The sequence below is a fragment of the Homo sapiens genome, chromosome 6 (assembly GCF_000001405.40).
Source record: "Homo sapiens chromosome 6, GRCh38.p14 Primary Assembly".
Classification (NCBI taxonomy): domain Eukaryota; kingdom Metazoa; phylum Chordata; class Mammalia; order Primates; family Hominidae; genus Homo; species Homo sapiens.
The window spans coordinates 36,986,586-37,005,559 of NC_000006.12; the positions used below are offsets into that span (position 1 = coordinate 36,986,586).

An 18,974-nucleotide genomic window follows, 5' to 3' on the forward strand; every position below is an offset into this window, starting at 1 on the left:
AGTCGCCGCGGCCTGCGTGGAACTCTGCGCGAGCTGAATCTCCTGCTGCAGGACGAGCCCCGACCCCGAGCCCGATCCCCTCCGCGGTCCCAGCCTCTTTGTCCGATCGCATTTTCCATCTCCTCTGCCAGGAATGCTCTCCCAACCAGAGCAAATCCAGATGTCCCCTCGGCGACTGTGGGCACCCTCCCCAGCTGTGGAGCCTTCGCACGCCTTCCTCAGAGTCCGTGGTTGTAAAATTTGTTTTGCTCTAAAGTATTTGACTGTCTCCCTCACTAGATCCTGAGGGTTTTAGTGAGTGCCTCAGTGTGAGCACATGCAGGCACTGCTAGGCGCCTGTAGTTGATTCTTAGTTAATACAAGTGAATAATCACAACTAGACCTTAAATTGCAGGGACTATGTGACAGGCACTTTTTAAAATGCTTTATACGTGTTGATTTAAGTGTAATCGTCACAAGAACCCTGCGAGGAAGATAGGACAGCAAGTGCCCTGTTCCTGTTTGTAAACGTGCCCGACACTCTGCAACAACACCTACAACAGAACCGTGCTAGTTTTGGGGGTTCGCAATAAAAGTTTCTGTTTGAACGGATCCTAGAGTGTGCAGGGACACAGCAATGGAAGACCTGGTCCCTTTGTCTGTACTTAGTCTATAGCCAGTTCATTGTGAGAAATTTCTTTAGATCGACACCTGCCACTGTTAGTCCGGGTTTCCCAGTCTGTCCTTTCTAACTCCCTTCCTGCCTTACCCCCTAAAAAGCTACCTCCCCTCTTCCCACTCCTGATAATGAACACTATGTACTTTCCACGTTCAAAGCATGCCACACTCCCTCTCTCCCTCACCTTGGCCTCCCTAACCCAGGCTTGTCCTAGTGAAATCACTTGCAAAGCCTGCTAACCCTTTCAACTTGCTGTGTTTTCTCCATCAAACACAATTTTCATCAAACATCCCCCAGGAGCACCTTAAATGACTTCCTTTTGCCTAGGTTCTGATTTAGCTTTCTCAATAAGGACCTCAAAGTCAAGTTCCTAGTGCCACACTAACTCTCTACCCAGAAGAGGCGATAGGTTTTAGTTTGGGGGTGGGGGGTGGGGGTAGGGGAGGATGATTTACTTCCCCATCCTTCTGAAACTTCCTCACAGGAACCTTTTCCTTCTTTGGGCTTTTCGTCCCCATTTTTCTCCAACTGTCTGTTTTTCTTTCTGAACTTGGCTGTTCACCGTTGAGCCTTTTACTCTGCCTTACATGGTCACCTAACTTTGGGCCTATACTGTATTTGGCCCTTTCAAACTGTAGTTTCATGTGAAGCAGCAACTTTGTGTTGTCTTGCATTGTTTTGTATCTTCCACAACATCAGATATAGGACTATGCACATAGTACATGTTCAGTAAAGTATTTCTAAATGATCGAACAATTTCTCCAAGTGAAGAAATTGAAGGAAAAATAGATCAGCTAAACCAGTTAGACCCGTAGGGTACCAAGCAGAAGCAAATGTTAAACTGCACAATAGCTGTATTTCTACAACTCAGGGCTCACAGAGACTCCAAGAGGAAGAAAAAAAGAATCCTCACAATAAAAAATGTATGAGCCGCTCAAAGAAACGTGCCATCATGAGAGAGAATGGGCAAAACAGGAAGAACTTGAGATAATAGAACCATCTCAAAGAAAATTAAAAGGAAAGAAGTAGGTTTCAAATGAAGGCAAAGATAAATAATAGGAAGTACTAGTAAAAAGAACAGGAATTGTAAAGGAAAAAAAAAAACAGGTGTATTTGAAAAGGTGCCAAACAGAACATCTAGAAATGAAAAGTATACTCACTGAAATGATTGAATGAAAGAAAATCTTCCTCAGCAGTCAAGCTACTGAGCAACCTGGCAATAAACCTTTAGAGCTATAAAGGAGTTAGCTCTGGCCAGGCGCGGTGGCTCACACCTGTAATCTCAGCACTTTGGGAGGCCGAGGCGGGTGGATCACCTGAGGTCGAGACCAGCCTGGCCAACATGGTGAAACCCCGTCTCTACTAAAAATACAAAAATTAGCTGGGCATGGTGGCGCATGCCTGCAGTCCCAGCTACTCGGGAGGCTGAGGCAGGAGAATCAGTTGAACCCAGGAGGCACAGGTTGCAGTGAGACGAGATCACGCCACTGCACTCCAGCCTGGACGATAAGAGTGAAACTCCATCTCAAAAAAAAAAAAAAAAGGCTGTAAGCTCTGGGCTTGGGTAGTGCCCCCCACTTCGGTGCCACCACCCTCTGCATATGCCACCTCACATATGCAGTGCTGACCACACTGCACTGTGACTGCCTGTTTTCTTGTCAGTCTCCCTTGTTAGACTGTAAGCTCTTTGACAGCCAGGACTGTTCTATTCATAGTTGAACCCCAAGCCTGGCTCAATGCCTGGCACATGATAGGAACACAACAAATATTACTAGAAAATGAATGACTGAGCAAAAACACTCTCCAAAATTGTACAGTTTTTTATGGTAGCACTAATTACAGAATCAAAACTTTAGGAAGATCCATGTGCCCGATAGGATCAAGCAAAAGGAAAAAAGTTAACAGGAAATAAGACTCGTAGATCTTGAGAACTGCCAAGAATACAGACCATCCCAGGTCCCTGGAATCCTGTGGGATATGTTGTAATGAAAAGTAAATGCAAATTAGTAAGTACCCACCATTGCAATTAATTTGACATCATACTGATCCAGTCAGGAGGGAACTAAGGTGATGTCAAGGGCGGCATCAGAGTTCTGGCCTCACCTGATGTTTTCTGCTGTTAACAGAATACTACAGACTGGGTAAGTTATAAAAAAAGAAACTTATTTCTCACAGTTCTGGAGGCAGAGAAGTCCAAAAACGTGGCATCAGCGTCTGGGGAGGGTCATCCCATGGCAGAAGGTGGAAGGCGGAGTGAGCACACTAGACAGAGAGATCAAACGGGGGCTGAACTTGTCCTTTTTTCTGAAGCCCATTCTTGAGATCACTAATCCACTCCTGAGATAGGAGCATTAATCTCCTCTTAAAGTTCCCATCGTTAATACCATTACATTGACAGTTAAATTTCAACTTGAGTTTTGGCAGGAACATTTAAACCATAGCTCCAGGGAAGGTGCACAAGGTGTAAGGAGAATCAACCTTGGTGTAAAGAAGATGGGCTCATTTCGATGTAGGATTCCTGTTTACTAGTTTTGGGTGAGAACTAGTTCCGGTTGCTGCCTCTGATCACCTGCTTGTCTGGGGTGAGGGCGAGGTGGGAGTGGAAACACTGGCTTTTCTTCTGTCTTGGATCCCTGGGGTCCCACCCTCAGACATCAACCCCACCCAGAAGCCAAGCTGCAAAAGGAGCCGACTTTAGGTCCTGGTTCCAATTCCACTTGCCTCTGCCTCTCCCCACCCTCTTAAAAAGAAAACAACAAGGCTGGGCGTGGTGGCTCACGCCTGTAATCCCAGCACTTTGGGAGGCCGAGGTGGCTGGATCACCTGAGGTCAGGAGTTTGAGACCAGCGCTGGACCAACATGGAGAAACCCCGTCTCTACTAAAAATACAAAATTAGCCGGGCATGGTGGCGCATGCCTGTAATCCCAGCTACTCGGAAGGCTGAGGCAGGAGGATCGCTTGAACCCGGGAGGCAGAGGTTGCGGTGAGCCAAGATCATGCCATTGCTCTCCAGCCTGGGCAACAAGAGCAAAACTCCATCTAAAAAGCAATAAATAAATAAATAAAAAGAAAACAATGACAACATAGGATTATACTGAACAATTATGTATGTATGTATGTATGTATTTATTTATGAAAGTCTTACTCTGTTGCCCAGCCTGGAGTGCAGTGGCAAGATCTCAGCTCACTGCAACCTCCACCTCCCAGTTCAAGCAATTCTTGTGCCTCAGCCTCCTGAGAGCTGGGATTACAAGTGGTTACCACCACACCTGGCTGATTTTTGTATTTTTAGTAGAGAAGAGGTTTCACCCTGTTGGCCAAGTTGATCTCAAACTCCTGAGCTCAAGTGATCCACCTGCCTTAGCCTCCCAAAGTGCTGTGATTATAGGCATGAGCCACCGTGCCCAGCCTGAAAAATTTTAATACGTAAATTCAATTAATTGTCTTATAGTCAGGGACTCTTCTGCTAAGTGAAGTGAGGCAGCCTGCACAGGTGTTCAACTCTGCCTGACACTGTTGTTTGCTTTACAAGTATTAACTCCTCTTACTATTACAGTATGGGGCCAGGGCTACGATGATTATCCTCATTCTACAGATGAGGAAACTGAGATCCAGAGAGGCTAAGTAACTTCCTCAGGATCACACAGCTAATAAGAGGTGGAGCCGGGGTTTGAGTCCAGCTCTGCCTGAATGTGATGCCCTACACTCTTGAATGGAGGGCAAAGACAGAAAATGGACAAGCATGCAAAGTGATGACCCTGGACCTCCAGCTTCTGCTGGCAGGCAGGCCAGTGACTTCAAGGGTATTGCTGACACAAAGGTCTTCTGGATGTACAGGCTGTGAAGAGAGCAAGATTTCAGCAGTTGAGACACACATCCTGGTGGCTCACATGTACTAATGACACCCAAAGTGGGTACCATGTATATGCGAGCCAGAGGACACCCTGATGCCAGCCTCACTCTGGTCTTCCTTATTCATGTCATCATACCACCTGTGGAGACAGCCCCTTCTTTTTTTGTTTTTTTTGGGTGGGGGGGGGAATAGAATTTCGCTCTTGTCACCCAGGCTGGAGTGCAATGGTACAGTCTCGGCTCACTGAAATCTCCACCTCCTGGGTTCAAGTGATTCTCTTGCCTCAGCCTTCTGAGTAGCTGGGCTTACAGGCTTGCACTGCCACGTCTGGCTAAGTTTTGTATTTTTAGTAGAGACGGGGTTTCACCATGTTGGCCAGGCTGGTCTCCAACTCCTGACCGCAGGTGATCCGGCTGCCTCAGCCTCCCAAAGTGCTGGGGTCACAGGCATGAGCCACTGAACCTGGCCTGAGACAGCCCCTTCTTAAAGGGTCATTACTTTCCCTTTGAAATTACACTCTGCAGCCATGTCTGTCCTTGGGAGCTCTGCAGTTGCTCACTTCTCTAGAAACTCTACCTGGTGAAGGAGACTTGGGAATGGGAGTCAACAGCAGCTTGCTCTGAATCCTGGCATTGCTGCTCACAGCTGTGTGGCCCTGAGAGCCTCTCTGAGCCTCTCTTTCCTTGGATGTGCAGTGTGAACAGGGGATAAGGGAGGCAACAGAGTGGCAAAGTCACCACTCAATACATGCGTCTAAAATGCTGCAAAAACATCCAGGGGGAATGCCTCATCTTTGGATTTGAGAATTTCCTCTGTAAATTGCTTTAAATATTTCCCCAGCCTCCCATCACTCCCTTCTTTGTGGATGGTTCTTTATTTGTACAACCCAGCCCTTTTCTGCACAAAGCAGGTTGGTTAACTTGCCGGTGTGGGACCACTTCTACCCAAAGAGTAATAGGGACTTCTTACTAGCTGGTGATAGCCCTGGCAGTTCTTCCCCACCCCCACCCCCACCAAGACAAAGTCTTGCTCTGTCGCCCAGGCTGGAGTGCAGTGGCGCGATCTCGGCTCACTGCAACCTCTGCCTCCCGGATTCAAGCAATTCTCCTGCCTCAGCCTCCCAAGTAGCTGGGATTACAGGTGCCCACCAACATGCCTGGCTAATTTTTTAGTAGAGACGGGGTTTCACCATGTTGGGTAGGTTGGTCTCGAACTCCTGACCTCGTGATCTGCCTACCTCGGCCTCCCAAAGTGCTGGGATTACAAGCGTGAGCCACTGCACCCAGCCCAGCCCCAGGAGTTCTAAGGGGACACTGAATTAAAGAAGCAGAGAATTATTATGAGATAGAGCCATTCAATTAAAAAAAAAAAAACACCTCTTATCCTTATTATGCTAAAAGAAGGTACATTAGAATTGCAGTCATCTCAGGAATTCTGGCATATCATGCAGGTCACCAGAAGTGTATTGGCATGAGGAATTGCTAAGCCAAATAATTGCCAAGTTTTTATTTATTTATTATTTATTTATTTATTTATTTATTTTTGAGACGGAAATTCGCTCTGTCACCCAGGCTGGAGTGCAGTGGCATGATCTTGGCTCACCACGCAAGTTCCACCTGCCAGGTTCAAGCGATTCTCCTGCCTCAGCCTCCTGAGTAGCTGGGATTATAGGTGCCCACCACCACACCCAGCTAATTTTTGTACTTTTAGTAGAGACAGGTTTCACCATGTTGGCTAGGCTGGTCTCGAACTCCCGACTTTAGGTGATCTGCCCGCCTCAGCCTCCCAAAGTGCTGGGATTACAGGCATGGGCCGCCACGCCTGGCTAATTCCCAAGTTTTAATGGGGAAACACAGAAGACAACTTGGGACTGAGAGGCCCAAAGGCTTTGGCATGAAACTTACAAGAGCAAAGAGGGGAAGTGAGGGCCTTTAAACTCCAAGGAGATGTGGTACGTTGCAGTGAGTCCAATACTGTCCCCATGTCAGAAAGGATCAAATGCCTGGTTTGTGTTCTGCTCTGTCATTCTCTTCGTGGAAAAAGGCAAGTCCACCTAAATCTTCTGTGACCCAGTCTGTTTATCCTAAGAGGTGAAAAGATGTTTTCCTCTTTTGTGGCAATCAGTAAAAATCAAATTTTAGTGGGCTCTTGCATGGCATTTGGGTGAGTTTCAGGATTAAGATTTTATCAGGACCATTAATTCAAAGGGAGACTATTCAGCAATAAAGAGGAATGAACTATTGATATGGGCAACATTATTCTGAGAGAAAAAAATCCAGACACAAAAGAGCACTTGCTGTGTGATTCCATTTATATAAAATTCTAAAACAGGCAAAATGAATCTATCAGGATAAAATCAGAAGAGTGCTTGCCCATGGTGGAGGACTGACTGGAGAGGAGCATGAACAACTTTCTGGAAGGATGGAAATGTTCTTCATCTTTATCAGCGTGGTGGTTACATGGTGTGTGTAATAGTAGAAGTCCATTAGACAGTACTCTTAAAATCTGGGCCTTTTTCTGTTTTGTTTTGTTTCTTTTTTTGGACAGAGTCTCGCTCTGTCACCAGGCTGGACTACAGTGGCGCGATGTCGGCTCACTGGAACCTCTTACTACCTGGTTCAAATGATTCTCCTGCCTCAGCCTCCGGAGTAGCTGGGATTACAGGCATGCGCCACCATGCCCAGCTAATTTTTGTTTTTTTAGTAGAGACGGGGTTTCACCACGTTGGCCAGGATGATGGTCTTTATCTCCTGACCTGGTGATCTGCCTGGCTCAGCCTCCCAAAGTGCTGGGATTACAGGCTTGAGCCGCCACGCCCAGCCAAATCTGGCCATCTTATTGTGCAAACATTATTCTTTAATTAAGGAAGAATATATTTTAATGTATTATTAAAATTTAACAATTTTAAGAATACATTTTCACATTTTAGTGGGCATCTGGGGGTTTTAAAGGGAAGGGACTGCACACATTCATGTAAATCCTAATGTAATCAGAAAAATGGACTACTCTCTTCACTGCTTCTCCACAACTCCTTGGCAAAGAGTCTGAATCCTTATAAGCAATGCTGTGCTGGTAAGCATGTAACAACGGGCTCTCTAGGGGGGAAAATGTTCTGGTTTACAGCACTTACCAATTCATCTGGTATAAATACTCTCGCCATGGCTGATTTCAAGCTGCTGATGTGATGTCACTGAGCATGAAGTTGGGAAGAGCTGGGCACAACTGAATTTTGCAAGCCAGTGTGAGCCAACTCTGGCACATCACTGCAACAACCCTTTATTTTGAAGGTTCAGGGATTCTTGGCAGAGCTGAGAATACATTAAACAGTGTCTTACTCTGGAGCAAATAGCCATTTCCTATTAGTCTGAATGTTAAGGATGATGTAAAGAAACTGACACTGCCCTAAAGTGATAATATGAGGCCGGGTGTGGTGGCTCACGCCTGTAATCCCAACACTTTGGGAGGCTGAGGTGGGCAGATCACTCGAGGTCAGGAGTTCGAGACCAGCCTGGCCAACATGGTGAAATCCTGCCTCTACTAAAAATACAAGACTTAGCTGGGTGTGATGGTGCATGCCTGTAATCCTAGCTACTTGGGAGGCTGAGGCAGGAGAATCACTTGAGCCTGGGAGGTGGAGGTTTCAGTGAGCTGAGATCACACCACTGCACTCCAGCCTGGATGACAGAGCGGGACTCCATCTCAAAAAAATAAAGAAATAAAGTGGTAATATGAAATACCCCACTGTGGGGTCAGCCTTGCCAGGTGTGGCAGTTTGGTTGAAGTTAGCAACCCATTCACAGGATCAGGATTTTTAAGAAAAAAAATATGGGTTATTTCATTTAAAATTCCTGAATCCTGATTTCTCCTGGGGAGAGCAAAGGGCAAAATCAGGCACCACAAGATCTGCATCCCTTCTTGGTAACAACAGGTTGTAACAGGGTAAAACCTGCCCCCATGAGAAGGGCATGGATTCTCCACCCATAGTATCCACGTCTTAACAATGCACCTGCTGCAAACTGGTACATTTTCTGTGTGATTCTAGTCATCATTTGAGTTTGCAAATCCTGGCTTAAACTGTGTCAACTGTGAGAGCTAGTTTGGGGTGTGTCTGTGTGAACAGTTAACTTTTGGGTGAGCTGAAGAATACCCATGCACACCCACAATTTCCCCAGTTGGAGGAATCAGACTTGGCATCTTGGGGTACTCATGCTCACTCTGGGTGCTCCATGGGACTTGGGACACAAAAGATCGCCACCCTCCAGCCAAGGCATTGCCTGGACCCCCGATTCCCAATCCTGGCTGAGCATTAGAATCACCAAAGGAGTTGGTTTCTTTGTTGTTGTTGTTATTGTTTTTAATTTTAAATAAGCCCGCTCCTCAGCCCAGAGAGTTGACTAAGCATCTCTGGGGACGAGGTCTTAACTAAAATGTTTGAGTAAGATTCTCCGGATGATTCCAATATGCTGGAGGGTTGGGCCGCACTGTTCCAGACAGAAAACAATGGCGTGCTCAGAGGCAAGGGCTAAAGTGACCAGGATGCTGGCTTGCATCTGGCTGGCATCTTGCAACCTGAGAGTGATGTTTCCCAGGTTGGGGGAGTCATAGACCCACAGAAGATAACACTTTCAAAGAGAGACCAAGGAAGGCCCTCCCCCTTTTAGGAAGGTACAATTTAAGGTGCCTTTTCCTTCAGATTAAGGGAAGAGTCACATGTAGCATCCAGTTTTAAGTTCGTTTCCCTCGCTAGGTTGTAATCCCTACCTCTAATAAAGGGGCAGGGCAGGAAGGGAAGTGTGGCTTGCCATACCTCAACCCCCACTGGGTACCAGGTAGAAGCTGCATCCTGTCCAGGAGACTTGAGCCTGCGGTTCAAGCAGAGACCAGAGGCAGCATGAGCCTCGGCTCACAGTGAAGCTGGGTGTCCTGGAGCCTCTGTCCTGTGAGAGCTTAGGAGAGAGAGAAAGCAAGAATTCTCCCGCAATTCCTTTGACCAGTATTCACCGAGCACCTACCACGTGCCAAGCACTGTTATAGATGCTGGGGAAAGAGCAGAGAACAAAATAGACAAAAGTGCCTGCCCCCATGGAGCTGATATTCCAGTGGGGAGACAGACAACAAATATAATAAATAAATCAATATCTCGGAAAGTGATACATGAGAAAAATTAAGCAGGGAAGGGACACTGGGAATGTGCGGTGCTGCTGCAGCTCAGGGAGTCTCCGGGGGAAGGGAAAGGCCAGTGAGATGGTGACATTTAAGCAAAGATTTGAAGGTGACCAGAGGGTGAGCCACGCAGATATCTCATGGAAGAGAGTTCCTTGTTTTGGGGTGTTTTGAGATATAATCTCACTCTGTTACCGAGGCTGGAGTGCAATGGCACAATCATAGCTCACTGCAACCTCAAACTCCTGGGCTCAAGCGATCTCCTACCTCGCTAAGTAGCTTGGACTACAGGTGCTGACCACCACACCCAGCTAATTTTTAAATTTTGTGCCAAGATGTCTCACTATGTTGCCCAGGCTGGTCTCGAACTCTTGGTCTCAAGTGATGTTCCTGCCTTGGCCTCTCAAGGTGCTGGAATTACAGGTGTGAGCCACTGTGACTGTAGAAAGACAGTTCTGGATAGGAGGAAGGACAAGAGCAAAGGCCCTGAGGTGGGAGTTTGGTGGGGTGGAGGGCAGAGAGGAAGCCATGGTCCTGGAGCCAAGAGAAAGGGGAGAGTGGCCTAGATGAGGTCAGGGAGTTGGACTTTGCAGGCCATTGGCTGTGGACATGGCAATCACACCCAGTAAGACACCAATCAGACCATCCTGATTCAGACTATCCCTAATGTCCTATAATCCCAGCACTTTGGGAGGCCGAGGCAGGTGGATCACCTGAGGTCAGGAGTTCAAGACCAGCCTGGCCAACGTGGTGAAACCCTGTCTCTACTAAAAATACAAAAATTAGCCAGATGTGGTAGCAGGTGCCTGTAATCCCAGCTACTTGGGAGGCTTTACAGCAGGAGAATTGTTTGAACCCGGGAGGCGGAGGTTGCAGTGAGCCGAGATTGCGCCACTGCACTCAAGCCTGAGCGACAGAGCGAGACTCTGTCTCAAAAAAAAAGACATATCCCTAATGTAGACCAGAAGAAGGGACCCTTGAAAAGAATGGGGAAACTGAGGCTAAAGTAGGGCCATCCAGCCAGCTTTCTTCCTGAATTGCCCTGCAGAGGACTGGGAATGTCTGGGGGTTCTTTTGTTTTGTTTTTTCTTTTGTTCCCTAGGAATCAGACGGAGGGAATGGGGCATGACAGAAGGGAGGGTGGCTCACTCACGTTGGAGCCCTGAGGCCACAACTGGTGGGAAACTGAGGTGCATTTGTCAGGTCAGAGGGCCCAGGCCCTGGGTTGGGGTTGGGGAACAGGGCCGGAGCTTGGCTTGATAGGAGCTGCTCCAAGGAAAGACCAAAAGCCAAACTCAGGGAAGGCAAGAGGCGGAGGAAAGAGAACCTTCCACAACCCCCTCCCGCATGCTGGAATGTGCTGCTCCCCACTCAGAAAGGATGTGTGGAGGGCCTACTGTTTGGCAGGCACTGTACTAACTTCTGGGGACCCAGAGACAAATGAGCCAAGGTCCTGCCCCTTCTGGATCTTGTGAGGACTGAGGCCTCGGATGGGATTTGGGTTTCATTTCTCCTTGTTTCCCAAGGTCCCAGCACAGGGGCTATTTGCTGAGAGCAAAGAAGGAAGGGACCTGGTGGGAGGAGGGGCGGGAACTCGGCAGCTCCTTGATGGGAGCAATGGGCTGTTAGTGGGCTCCTGTGTGGTTGTTACATAACAGCTCCCTGGAAGAAGGTACAAGAGGAGCCTAGTAACAAGATGCATTCATGCAGAAATCACAGGCAGAGAATAAGTCGTGCTATTGTGTGGGAAGATAGCGGAGAGGTAGCACAGGTGGGGGAATGGGTCGTGGGAGAAAGGTCGTCAGTGTGGAGGGCAGCGGGCTGGCTGTGCAGGAACAATGTGTTCCCTTTCTCCACTTGGAAACCTGTCAATTCTCTCCAAGCCACTCATGTTTCTGTGTGAGCGCTGTGAAGAACCAAGCAGTCAGGGCCTCGAGAAAGGCCTACAACTATTTGGATAGAGAAGGAGCCTGTCGCTGGGTGTGAGGCCCCTGCATGGTGGCTGAGTGCTTGCACTCTGGGTGCCTTCTCAGGCACAGCCTGGCACCACTCCTGGGCTCTGGCCTTGCTTTACTGGCTCCTTTCTGGTGCCTCCCTGCCCAGATCCCGGCCCTGGCTCTGCCAGGCCCCCTCTCCTCCCCTAGAAACACAATCCTTGCCTCTGCCGTCTCCCAGTGTCCCGGGGGCGTATCTCCTGCCAGCCTGCACATTCACTGTGGGTTCAGCCCGCCTGCGATTTCACTCTTGGTTTCCCTCCTTGGGCCCCACCTGATCTCTGCTTCTAGTGACCTTGAGTTCTTCCTGAATAGTGGGGTGGGTGCCAGGGCCTGGCACAAGCCTTGCCCAATCCTGGCACAAGCCTTGCCCAATCCTTGTGAATGCCAACTTTGAAACTAGATAGTTCACACGCTGAAGAAGAAAGAGCTGTTTATGTTCTTCACTGACGTCCTCTGGCCACCCACGTCAGGCCTGACACCCATCTGCCCCCCACGTCAGGCCTGACACCCCTTTGCTATCTGGGCTGTGCTCTCAGAGCGGATCCTCCTGGGCAGTGAGCCGCAAGGAGCCTGTATTGAGAGAGGTGGGTTTTGCCTCCCGGTATTCCTCACAGGGCTGAACCAACTCGGAATAATTCCACTCCTCAGGTTGACAGTAACATTTAGGAACACCCAGGCCACAGAGGGTCAGGGGCATATAGCAGGCAAAATATAGGGAGGTTCCTGGAAAAGGTGAAAGCGGGAAGGCCGGCGGGCCTTCCACAGAAGGGGCCAGCACCCTTCCAGAAGAAAGCCTCGGCAAAGGGTGGAATTTCCGGCAGAGGGACAGAGTGGAACAATTCTGGCTGCTTGGAGGAGGGGACAGATGAGACGAGTCTCCAAGGGAGCCCAGCTTTGTTCAGCTTCCTCCCTCCAAGCCAGGGATCGGAGGCCCTTGGCGCCCATCCCTCCCATCGGCAGTGTGGCCTCTGCCCACCATGTGACTACCCAGACAGCGCCCTCACTAGGGCCTTCCAAAAGCAGGGGGTGGGGGTGGGCAGGAGGAGGGGGTGAGGCGGAGACCGGGAGGGGTGGCAAGGGTCACGGCAGCCTCTGGCACAGGTTTCAGCTGGCTGCCTGCATCCTCTCTAGAGCCGCATCATCCCAGCTCACAGGCCTGTCTGTCACGGGCCATTAAGCCCTTGGCAGGTGCTGTGTGCTTGACTGAGGCTGGAGGTGGGATGGCTGGCAAGGGGGAGCCTGGGAACATGCCAGCCTGTCCCCTCCAGTCCTTGTCACCCTGAAGATAAATGCTCCTTTGGGGAGTCCTCACTGTCCCCGGAAAGGCTACACCTGGTGAACCCCTGCAGATTTGCTACACACACACCGTTCATACACACAATGCACACATACATACATGCACGTGCACACACGCCAACCTACACACACACCAGATACACACATGTCACATACACACCCCACAAATACACACATATACACTCATAGCATCCTGATCCTAAGTTGTGACACTTCCTCCCTGGCAGCCTCTAAATGCCCCTTCTGCTTTCCCAAAGTTGCCCCAAGAGGTCCTCTGGGCGCCTCCAGTCTACACACAAAGCCGCTCTGCATGCACCCCAGGGTAGAGATCCCTCGCCAGCCGAGTCCCCACCTGGCCCTGCAGTTCTGCTTGGGCATCCCTCCCTCACCCTCCCTCCCACCTTCCCCCATCTGAGCTGTAGGGAACTGAGCTCTTCCATCTTCCCTTGGGCTTGAAAGCAGAGAAGAGGAGAAAAAAAACAAGAGGTTTATTCATGCCAAAGACCCCAAGAGCCCTGAAATGGAGACATTGCCCCTGCTCAGAGGGAGATCTGTAGACTGGATCAGGGGTTACTCTGCTGAAAACGCTATACTCACTCCCCTAACCTTCTAAGCACCTCAGTTTGGCAGACAAAGCCTAGCAGGCCAGGCTTCCAGGACCCCTTCAGCTGCGGGTTCCACCATTTCCCAGGCCCTGGACACCCACGTGTGCGAGGCCCTGTGTTCTTCCCAGTCTAGCCATGGTAGCCATGGTCTCTCAAGCCCATATCCCTTTGCACATGCTGTTCCTTCTGCTTTGAATGCCCCTTCCTGTCTTGTCCACACAGAGTTAACTCATCCTTCATCCTTCATCTTTTTTTTTTTTTTTGAGACTCTGTCACCCAGGCTGGAGTGCAGTGGTGCAATCTCGGCTCACTGCAACCTCCGCCTCACAGGTTCAAGCAATTCTCCTGCCTCAGCGTCCTGAGTATGTGGGACTACAGGCACCTGCCACCACACCTTGCTTTTTTTTTTTTTTAATTTAATGGAGACGGGGTTTTACCATATTGGCCAGGCTGGTCTCAAACTCCTAACCTTGTGATCCGCCCGCCTCAGCCTCCCAAAGTGCTGGGATTACAGGTTTGAGCCACCGCACCCAGCCCATCCTTCATCTTTCATACTTCAAGTCACCTCTGCCACAAAGCCTTCTGATGACCCTTCTTTGGATGTTCATAACTCCCTTGTTCAAAGCTTTCATCACATCCTATTTTAGTGGTTAACAGGCCCATCTTCCTTATTAGAGTTTGAGCTAAAGGGCTGGGGACTGTGTTTTATCTACAACCTCTACTATGGTATTGACACATAGTAGGTGCTCAAGAAACACTTATCTACTGAATGCGTGACTTAATGAATAGGGCGGAAAAGACAAAATTAAACAGAGAGGAACACCAGGTCTCTGAGGAGGAAAATGAATTTCCAGCAGTAGGTATAAAGGAAGGCTTCCTGGAGGAAGTGAACCGGCTGTAGACAGACTGAAGACACTCTAGGCCAGGGATCCCGTAGCCTATTAGGAACTGGGCCGTACTGCAGGAGGTGAGTGGCGGGTGAGCATTACCACCTGAGTTCTGCCTCATGTCCCATCAGCAGTGGCATTAGATTCTCATAAGAGTGCGAATCCTATTGTGAACTGTGCATGTGAGGGATCTAGTTTGCTCACTCTTTATGAGAATCTAATTCCTGATGATCTGAGTGGAACAGTTTCATCCCAAAATCATCTCCCCACCCCCCGCAACCCCAGAAACCAGTCCCTCGTGCCAAAAAGGTTGGGGACCACTGCTCTAGGCAAAGGGAACTGATTGGTCAAGGCAGAGCGGAGCTATAGCAAAGGCTTCTCTCAAAAGTAAGAATGCTGGTAGCCAACAGTCACCGAGTACCTACTCAGTACCAGGCCTTACTCTAACCTCTTCTATATATTATTATCCCATTTAATCTTCATAACAACCACAGGAGGTTGGCAGTATAATTATCCCCATGTGGCAGAAGAGGAAAGTGAAGTTCTGTTACTGGTCCAAGGTGCTACAGAGAAGCAGAAGGACCGGGAGTGACACAATACAGAAGATGGAAGAGCTCAGTTCCCTGCAGCTCAGATGGGGGAAGGTGGGAGGGAGAGAGTGTGAGGGAGGGATGCCCAAGCCAGAACTGCAGGGATCCAATACAGAATACAGAATTTGACCTTATACAGTGTGGGAGCTTCTTAAAGAGTTAATGCTTCTGAGTCTAAAGTAAGCAGGGCAGGCAGTGGGGAGGAGAAGCCGGCAGGGAGGTAGGGGGAGCAAAGAGGAACTGAACTAGTCAGGAAGAGCTGGGACTCTGGAGGACGGACAGGTGGCCACCTCCAAGCCATCAACTTTGATGACACAGGTTATCTTTGTCCTGGAGCTAAGCATGCACCTGGCCCAGGAGCTGGACAAGCTGAAAAGGAAGATCAGTGGAGAAGCAACAGACCCACATCAACATGTATGATCTGCAACAGGGCTGGAGCTCTGCACTGACCCAGGAACAAAACAGGGCTGCTATATCCCCTCCTGCATCCATGGCTAACAGTAGTCCAGACCATGCAGGGAAGGGGATTCTGGGGCTGTGGCTCAGCGTGGCTCAGCTTAGCTCAGCCACAGTACCCGGCAGGTTTGGATCCCAACACAGATTAGGTGTGTGCAGGCAAGAAGTAGCTGAGAGTGTCAACCAGGAGGATCTTGATGGCTGCCCCAGTGAGTTTGAGATGACTTCAGTGCAATAATGGTGCTGGCTTTAGAGAGTTGTGTGTTGAGTTGGAAGCAAAGGTAGGCATCTACCTGGTGATATCCTGAAGGTGTTGGACATATCCACTGGGTAGAAGGGCAGGAAGAGGTACCAGTGGGACCTCCAGGATAAATTCTGAATTGGGTGGGAGGTGTGTGTGAATCAGGAGACCAGAAGGCCGAGGCTGAGTCTCAGGTGATGCCTGCAGGTACAGGCAGAAAGCCTGGCAGACTGTGAGGGGCCCAAGTCAGAGTGGTAGGGGACAGGGGAGGCAGAGCCTTGGATGATGAGGGAAGGTTGTTTTGGGGGTGTAGACATCTTGGCCTCTTTTTCCTGGAGGGAAGCAGCTCTGATGGTGCCTGTGCCATCTTCAGGGTTAGGGTATTGGAGGCCTCTTGAAGGCCCACCTACCCACCCTCCAGCCCCCATGGGAGGGGCAGGTCCCATTGTTCAGGCTTGGATGCTCAAAGCACTGGCAGCTGAGGGGTAAGACAATCCTCTGAGGCTTGGGGTGTGATGTCTGTCCATTCCACATGCCTTCTGAGGCCCCACTGTATGCGGGAAGGGCGCTGGGGTTGGGGACCCACCAGGAAGTGCACGTACTCAGGTGTGCCCTGCGTGGAGGGAGCAAGCCAGCCAGTGAGCAGAGAGACTGGTGGGAGGCAGAGGAGGAAATCCAGGAGAGGAACACCAGGGAGGGAGGCGCCCCCAGGCCAGGGAGGGCATCGGGAAGAAGTGGCATTTAAAGGTGATTCTGATCGAGCCTCTAGACCTAACCACCATCGACAGGAAATCCAGGGTATGGCGCTGCAATGGGCTAAGTCCTGGCTGTGGGACCTACAGGACAAACAACCCAGGGTCCCTCCACTATGCTGTGTGGGAAAACGGAAAGGACCAGGGGAACGTGTGGATGAAAAGTGAATTCATCCACGTGACAGCTCAGGGAATGTGTGGACCTTATTTGGATTCTGATTTTTTTTTTTAATTTAACATTTATAAGGAATTGGCACTTGGAATGTTTTCTGGATATTTAATTATATTGAGGAATTATTGCTAAATATCTCTTGGGGTATGATAACGGTAATATTATTTCATATGTATATACACATGGATATAACATGTAAAACATGTATGTCTATATAAAACAATATTACTATTATACATGTGTATATATGCATATACATTTATGTGTGTGTATATTTAGTTATTTAAAGGGTTCTTGGCTGGGCGCGGTGGCTCATGCCTGTAATCCCACTACTTTGGGAGGCCGAGGCAGGTGGATCATCTGAGGTTGGGAGTTCGAGACCAGCCTGGCCAACATGGTGAAACTCCGTCTCTACTAAAAATACAAAAATTAGCTGGGTGTGGTGGCACACACCTGTAGTCCCAGCTACTCAGGAGGCTGAGGCAGGAGAATCGCTTGAACCCAGTGGGGTGAAGATTGCAGTGATCCGAGATTGCAGCACTGCACTCCAGCCTGGGTGACAGAGTAAGACTCAGTCTCAAAAAAAAAAAAAAAGAGAGAGAGAGTTCTCATCTTCTAGATACACACTAAAATGTTTATGGGTAATGTCATCTGACATCTGGGATTTTCTTCAAAATGACATGAGAAGGCAGAGTCGATGTGGCTGCAGCAGGGACAGGGGACTGGCTGTGAGCTGAGGTTTGTTATGGTCTGGATTAGGGGTTCATGGGATGCATTATATGATTCTGTCTAGTTTTGCATATGTTCTAAATTCTCCATAATAAAAAGTAAAAAACAAAAATGGAGGTTTGTGAGACTTAGGGTTTGGGGCAGGGGGCCCGGCATCTGGTGGGAGAAACCACTCAGACGAGGCTTGGGGTGAGGGCGGCTGTTGGGCATGTGAGGCCCCAGGGGTTCACAGTTACTGGAGCGTGAAGCTGTTCCAGGCACTTCACGTACCAAGAGCACCGAGGCTCAGGCCCTGCACTCCAGGACACAGACCAGGTTCAGTGGAGAGCCCTGGTGGGACCAGAGCCCAGTGGGAGGGCCCTGAACGGCCTGTGGGGCTTGAAGGAGGGGAACAGAGGCAGCGTCCATTTGTTCTGTAAGGGCCGGGAGACCAGGTGGTAAAGGAGGCCTCAGGCAAAGACAACCCAGTGTCCTGGGATCAGGGAGGCCTGGGGATGGAGCAGCAAGAACATGGTCATCCAGGCTCCCAACGAACCTTTGCTGGAACTGTAGGACACCCACTTTTGCTTTGGAAATCCAACTTCTCTTGTATTCTTCCTGGGTGACCTTGGGCAAGTTACTTAACCTCTCTGATTCTGTTTCTTCCTATGTAAAGTGGGGATAGGAATAGTACCTACCTCATGAGGTTGTTATAGGATTAATAAGAAAATACTCATAAGCATGAAAAAGAGTGCATGTTAGCTATTATTATCCTCTGAGTTTCAGGGAGGAAACTGCCCTCCCTTGGGGCAATGAGGTGATGACAGCAACAACTAAAATGAGAGAACCCCAGTGGGGAGGTGGGAACATCACAGTACTCCCTGCCACCCTTACCAGGTTTGTGATTATTTTAAATAAAACATGCTGTTTCCTGGCCAGGCACAGTGGCTCACATCTGTAATCCCAGAATTTTGGGAGGCCGAGGCAGGAGGATCACCTGAGGCCAGGAGTTCAAGACCAGCCTGAGCAACATGGTGAAACCCCATCTCTACTAAAAATACAAATAATTAGCAGGGCGTGGTGGCAGGCCCTGTAATCCCGGCTACTCAGGAGGCTGAGGCAGGAGAATCGCTTGAACCGGGAGGCAGAGGGTGCAGTGAGCCGAGATCCCACCACCGCACTCTGTCTCTAAAGAATAAAAAAGACATTATTTCCTTACAGCTGTGAGCAGGGGCAGATGCAGAAAAGAAGGTGCTGGGAAAGAGGCCAAGTAAAAGCCACTGGACCTTCTGAAGGAGAAAGTGTGGTTGGCTGGAACCACTAGGCCAAGAAACCAGCCAAGGGTCTGGCTCCGGGTGGCCTTTTTTTTTTTTTTTTTTTTTAAGAGACGGTGTCTCACTATGTTGCCCAGGTTGGTCTTGAACTCCTGGGCTCAAGCAATCCTCCTGCTTCGGCCTCCCAAAGCACTGGAATTAGAGGTGCAAACCACTGCACCAGCCCAGACTGGGCTCCAGAAGCTACCTCTGGGCCCTGTTGCCACCTCTTAGGTGGCTTCTGGAATGGGGGTCTACAGGTGTGAAAGGTCAGCCCCCCTG

At 49.4% G+C, this 18,974-nt stretch overlaps 5 annotated features.

Annotated features, from left to right (window-relative positions):
• Nucleotides 6-215: an enhancer, noted in NCBI's record as "active region_24447". NCBI's record gives its function as "activates an Ori minimal core promoter by ATAC-STARR-seq in GM12878 lymphoblastoid cells {active_cell/tissue: GM12878}" and the evidence as "EXISTENCE:reporter gene assay evidence [ECO:0000049][PMID:35858748]".
• Nucleotides 6,314-6,514: a silencer, noted in NCBI's record as "fragment chr6:36960675-36960875 (GRCh37/hg19 assembly coordinates)". NCBI's record gives its function as "represses an EF-1alpha promoter that drives an FKBP-Casp9 reporter gene in an ReSE screen in phorbol 12-myristate 13-acetate-treated (for megakaryocytic differentiation) K562 erythroleukemia cells {active_cell/tissue: K562(+PMA)}" and the evidence as "EXISTENCE:reporter gene assay evidence [ECO:0000049][PMID:32094911]".
• Nucleotides 11,038-11,661: an enhancer, noted in NCBI's record as "H3K27ac-H3K4me1 hESC enhancer chr6:36965399-36966022 (GRCh37/hg19 assembly coordinates)". NCBI's record gives its function as "activates a minimal SCP1, AML or CMV promoter by ChIP-STARR-seq in primed H9 embryonic stem cells {active_cell/tissue: H9 hESC(primed)}" and the evidence as "EXISTENCE:reporter gene assay evidence [ECO:0000049][PMID:30033119]".
• Nucleotides 11,662-12,285: an enhancer, noted in NCBI's record as "H3K27ac-H3K4me1 hESC enhancer chr6:36966023-36966646 (GRCh37/hg19 assembly coordinates)". NCBI's record gives its function as "activates a minimal SCP1, AML or CMV promoter by ChIP-STARR-seq in primed H9 embryonic stem cells {active_cell/tissue: H9 hESC(primed)}" and the evidence as "EXISTENCE:reporter gene assay evidence [ECO:0000049][PMID:30033119]".
• Nucleotides 18,668-18,830: a silencer, noted in NCBI's record as "fragment chr6:36973029-36973191 (GRCh37/hg19 assembly coordinates)". NCBI's record gives its function as "represses an EF-1alpha promoter that drives an FKBP-Casp9 reporter gene in an ReSE screen in K562 erythroleukemia cells {active_cell/tissue: K562}" and the evidence as "EXISTENCE:reporter gene assay evidence [ECO:0000049][PMID:32094911]".